Source organism: Homo sapiens, chromosome 1 (assembly GCF_000001405.40).
Source record: "Homo sapiens chromosome 1, GRCh38.p14 Primary Assembly".
Taxonomy (NCBI): domain Eukaryota; kingdom Metazoa; phylum Chordata; class Mammalia; order Primates; family Hominidae; genus Homo; species Homo sapiens.
In genome coordinates, this window is record NC_000001.11 from 223070173 (window position 1) to 223075447 (window position 5275).

Genomic DNA, 5275 nt, shown 5'->3' on the forward strand with positions numbered 1-5275 from the left:
TCTAAAAGGGGGAAGCATGAATACTCCACCCCTTGTTTAGCATATAATCAAGGAATAACCATAAAAATGGGCAACCAGAAGTTCTTGGGTCTGCTCTGTCTATGGAGTAGCCATTCTATATTCCTTTACTTTTCTAATAAATTTGCTTTCACTTTATGGACTTGCCCTTAATTCTTTCTTGTGTGAGAACCAAGAACCCTCTCTTAGGGTCTGAATCGGGACCCCTTTCCGGTAACAGTCAGACTGCTTAGGAAGCTGAGTGATCACTAGAAGACAGTCATTAAGCCTGGAAGCAGAGCCAGAGGGTGAACATGTGACGGTTTAATGGCATCAAGCCAGAGCTGAAAGAGGGAAAAAGCTTTGATTATAAATAATGCTCAGCAGGTCTCCAAAAAGGTAAAGCCATTTGATTTATTTATTCTTCATTTCCATGGCTTTGTATATATATATATATAGGTGCTCAGTGAATGTTTGTTAAATCAATGAATATGTGCCAAGAAGGTGATCAGATCCTAAGGGCTAAGAAGGGAAAAACCAGGCAGTCTGGGAGTTGTTAAAGTGTGGAAGACTGGTTACCCCATACCTTCGTATGGGTACCAGTGGTCATTGGTTTGAAATGAGGTGGTGTGACTGAAGGAAGAGGATATCAGCTCAGTTCTGAGTGACAAACATTGAATCAGCAGACACTTATTGAGAACCAGGCAATGGGAGCATTGAGGGGACAAAATCTTTTTTCATGGCGACCCATAGTCTCACGAGGTATTGTTCTACCTTCGTCGAGAAAAATCTCCCACATCTGCTGATGGCAGACCACATGGCACTCAATAGACCAGAAACCAAGACTGCTTGATTTGCCAACCCTGGACTGCCCAGACTTCATTCAGCAGAAGTCTAGCTTTTATGTGTGCAGTTTGATATAGGAGCTTTCTGACTGGCAAAGATGAATGTGTCTTTCTTGATTATTAAAATATTTTCTTTATCAAGTAACTGGGCACTCTGAGATTGAGCCTTAATATTTCTGTATGCTTGAAAGCAGAAAGAAAAGGGCTATTCTAAAAGTAATCCAGGCCGGGCATGGTGGCTTATGCCTGTAATCCCAGCACTTTGGGAGACCAAAGCAGGCAGATTATTTGAGGTCAAGAGTCCGAGACCAGCCTGGCCAACATGGTGAAACTCTATCTCTACAAAAAATACAAAAATTAGCTGTGGTGAGATGCGCCGGTAATCCCAGCTACTCCGGAGGCTGAGGCAGGAGAATCGCTTGAACCTGGGAGGTAGAGCTTACAGTGAGCCAAGATGGCACCACTGCACTTCAGCTGGGGCCACAGAATGAGACTATATCTCAAAAAAAACAAAAAAACAAGAGTAATCCAAATAAATGTTCTTCATTTGGTTCTGAAAGTGGAAGCAGGCAGCAGCTTTGGGGCTAATTCATTCCTTGCTCAGCCAGGGGGATAACTTTGTGAGTCCTTTTGTCACACCAGTGTACATCGGGTACCTGTCCATTCTTGGGACAAACACTGGTGAAATAGACAAAGACAAAATACAAAAATTAGCCTGTAGTCCCAGCTTCTTGGGAGGCTGAAATAGACAAAGACAAGCCTAGGTCATTCTTTTTCTGTTTAATAGTGTAAAAGGCTGTACATTCCAACTGACAGATTTTTACAATAAAGAAATTGGCCAAAAATTGGCTTTTGGGTGCCTCTGGAATAGAATAGAGAAAATTGGAGAAGGGGCTCCTTTGAGGATAGTATTGCCAGGATTGGTGGTTTATTTCCCCCAAACAAGGGCATGCCACTGAGTGACTTGTTCACAAGTCTCCTTGCTTGGAATTATACACTCAGAAATTGCTTTGGAGCTCACTTTAGGTGCAGGAAACTTGTTATCTGGGAGAGCTGCTGCAGCTCTGTGTCAGGCCTGACAGTCACCTTCATCTGGTGCATTGACAGTTACTGTCCCCTAAGCAAGATCATCTGAGATCCAAAATCCCCTCTGTGAGTTGTGTTTTCCCAGTGACCTACTGTGTTAGTTAAGGTAATGCTAGCTGCTATAACAGACACACCCTGAACTCCCAGGGCCTTAGCACAATGAAAATTTATTTCTTGCATACTTCACAGTCCCAAGAGGATGTTCCTGGTCAGTCAGCCTTCCAGATGGTCATTCAGGGATCCAGGCTCCTTCCATCATGAGGCTCTGCCTTCTGTAAGTCCTTGGTGTTCTCTGCATTCTGCCAGTGGGTAGAGGGAGGCACCAAGGGGAAGAGACATCTCCATGTTACCTTTGGGCTGAAGGTGCCAGTTGTTACTTCCATGCATTTGCCACAGCTGAGAAGCCTTCCATGGCCCTACTGAGGTGCAAGGGAACCTGGGAAATGCAGTTCCTGTGAGTGCCCCGGCAACACCTCTACATGATGGGAAAGAAACAGAAATATTTGCCACACCTAGAAACACCTGGCATGGGGTAGAAAAATAGGAAAGGTTCACAATAAAACAGGGAAGGGGGCGATCTCAGGAGGGTGTGTTGAGAAAACACAATTCTTCTAAGAATTATTATTCTGGAGCTGTCCAGGTTTAGTCTAACTGAAGCAACACCTCTGAGACTCTGAGCAAAGGGATAGATACATGGGCCTAGAGCTGGTTTGATTCACTCTTCAACCCACTCCTGTAATCTCAAGTGAGGGACAGTCCTCAGGAGAGTGATGGTGTCTCCATTAAGGGGAAAGCCCTGTCTTTCTCATCTTGCCCCAACCATCCATAAGGCAGGAGAAATGTCCTCATCCTATTTCCCAAGAACGAACCCTGCAGGTCTGGTGAGTGTGCTGTTGCATTCATTTAGACAACAGACGTTTCTCTAACATCTACCATGTCCTAGGTACTATCACACAAAGGAGAGGTGCTTTTTCTGGCCCCCTGAGTTCCGGTCCTGGGCTGCTTACTAGGGCATTTGGCAACTCACTCCATCTCTCCAGCCCTCCCTTTCCCCACCTGTAAAGTAAAGTTCTTTAAATTCTCTCTAACTCAGTGGTTTTTAACCAGGGGCAGTTTTATTCCCCTAGAAAACATTTAGTGATATCTGGAGACATTTTTTGGTTGTCACAACTGAGGGGAAGAGGGTGCTTCTGGCATCTAGTAGGTAGAGGCTAGATACGCTGTTAAACATGCTGCAATGCTTAGGATGCCCTCAACGTCAAAGAATTATCCAGCCCAGATGTCAATAGTGCTGAAGGTGAAAAACCTTATTCTTAGCTCTAAAATTCTGTGATTCTTGCCAAGCAGAGAAGTCAGTCTGAATCTGGGATGCTGGAAATACTTGATTTCTATAAACTTGGTTAGTGGTGCTTCTCCTAACACAAAGATTCTGCCATTAGACTTCCCTCAGGTTGTTGTAGGGACCCGTCACTGGTAAATGTGTGTCACCCACACAGCAGCCACGTTAGAGGAGTGACCACAAATTCTTCTAAATGTCTAGCTTAAGCCCCTCTTGATTCAATTCATCCTGCCTTGACATGATTTACGGAACTAAAGCAAGCACGTGAAGATGGTGTGCTTGGGGTTTTGGTCAGTAGGAGCTAGACTTTTACCCCTCAAGTCTTGGTAGAGGGGGTGCTTTGCATAGATCCATTCCCATTCATTTCCTTTGTGCCCTATGTCTGAGGACATACAGCTGTGAGATGGAGACATAGGAGTGCTCTATGTCCACCCATGTCTTCATCCATCCATTCGTTCACTCAACATTTATTGAGCACCCACTGTGAGCTTAATCCATAGTCCAGGTACTCTGCTCCTTGTGCTGGCCACAGAGCAGTGAGTTAGACAAACATCGCAGGGCCAATGGAAACCACACACTAGTTGGGGAGCGGGTAATAAACAAGTAATCATGGTACAATTTACTTCTACAGTCAAGAGCCCTCTCTCTATGGAAGGTCGTTTATTTATTTATTATTTTTTTGAGACAGAATCTTGTTCTGTCGCCCAGGCTGGAGTGCAGTGGCACCATCTCACCTCACTGCAATCTCTGCCTCCCGGGTTCAAGTGATTCTTCTTCCTCAGCCTCCAGAGTAGCTGGGATGACAGGCGCCTGCCACCGTGCCTGGCTAATTTTTGTATTTTTAGTAGAGACGGGGTTTCACCATGTTGGCCAGGCTGGTCTCGAACTCCTGACCTCAAGTGATCCACCTGCCTCGGCCTCCCAAAGTGTTGGGATTACAGGAGTGAGCCACCACTCCCGACCAAGAAGACAGTTTATTTTGCCCTAATATTGGCTAAGGGAATCTTCCCAGATATTCTAGCAGAGGAGATTACAGACCTTACACTTCTGCTGCAGAAAATCACAAAATTTTTAGACTCTCCCTGGAAAGCTTGGGGCTGCAGCCTTGCTCCTCCCGCCTGTCCCCTTTCTGCAGCCCACCTGCTGCCCAAGGGTGCTGTGCATTCCGTCCTGGGGATCCAGAGGAAAAGGGGCTTTGTGGGGAGAGGAGGCAGGGATAAAGGAAAGTGCTAAGGCCCAGCCAATTCCTCCTAGGCTTGTAAAATTCCAGGGCTGAGTCCAAGTTCCCAAAATAGAAGTGAAGGGAGAGCAAACTTCCTGGCTGTGGTGGAGCCCCTGATGTGTTGAATGAAGCTGTTGGTTTGCAGGGTCTGGGAGGGTGTGTATGGGAGATGGGGGGGTCAGGGGGTGGTGGGGAGGGGCCTGAGTGACCAGAGGTGACCAAGATCCTGGGGGACAGACAGCACCTGGAGTGGTGACCACAGCTGCAGGAGCGGCAAGACTCCCAACACTCCATGCTTGGCGGTCACTTCTTTCTTTAGAAAGAGATATTTTGCTTTCTGTGGGCTTGAGAAAGCAGCAAATGACTGCACAGTCATGGGCTGTGCAGGGCCATTGTGACATGTTTGTCCTGTGGGGGCAGCGAGTATTTGTGGATGTGGGTGGGGGTGTGGACGCTTCGTGTCCACTGGCAGCCTGAAAATGAGGAGCGTGCGCCTGGATGAATGTCTGCTCTAAACTCAACTGCTTGTTTATTCAATGTCCTTAAAAAGGCTCTTAGTTCATCAGCAGTGTATTAAAAGTGTATAGTTCAACAATGAGCTTTTTGTTTAGATATCTTGTTTCGCAGTTTCTTAGGTTCAGTAAACACATTTTTTAAAATGTCTTAATTGTCTCATGAAGATATCTGACACAGTTAAATAAAAACAAGTGTTAGATTAAAAAGCCATGTAACTGCCCAACAGGTTCACCTTATCCATTGCCTAAACAGAGCCGATTAATCAAGACA

The 5275-nt window shown here is 45.8% G+C and overlaps 1 long non-coding RNA gene across 1 annotated transcript; it reads right to left on the reverse strand.

Moving 5' to 3' along the window:
- Positions 1-2076: 2076 nt before the first annotated feature.
- Positions 2077-4821, reverse strand: LOC124904521 (uncharacterized). Its single transcript, XR_007066891.1, has 2 exons — positions 4734-4821; positions 2077-2403 (listed from the first exon to the last, which is right to left on the reverse strand). It is a non-coding gene; the product is annotated as an uncharacterized LOC124904521 (long non-coding RNA).
- Between the last annotated feature and the right edge of the window lie 454 nt (positions 4822-5275).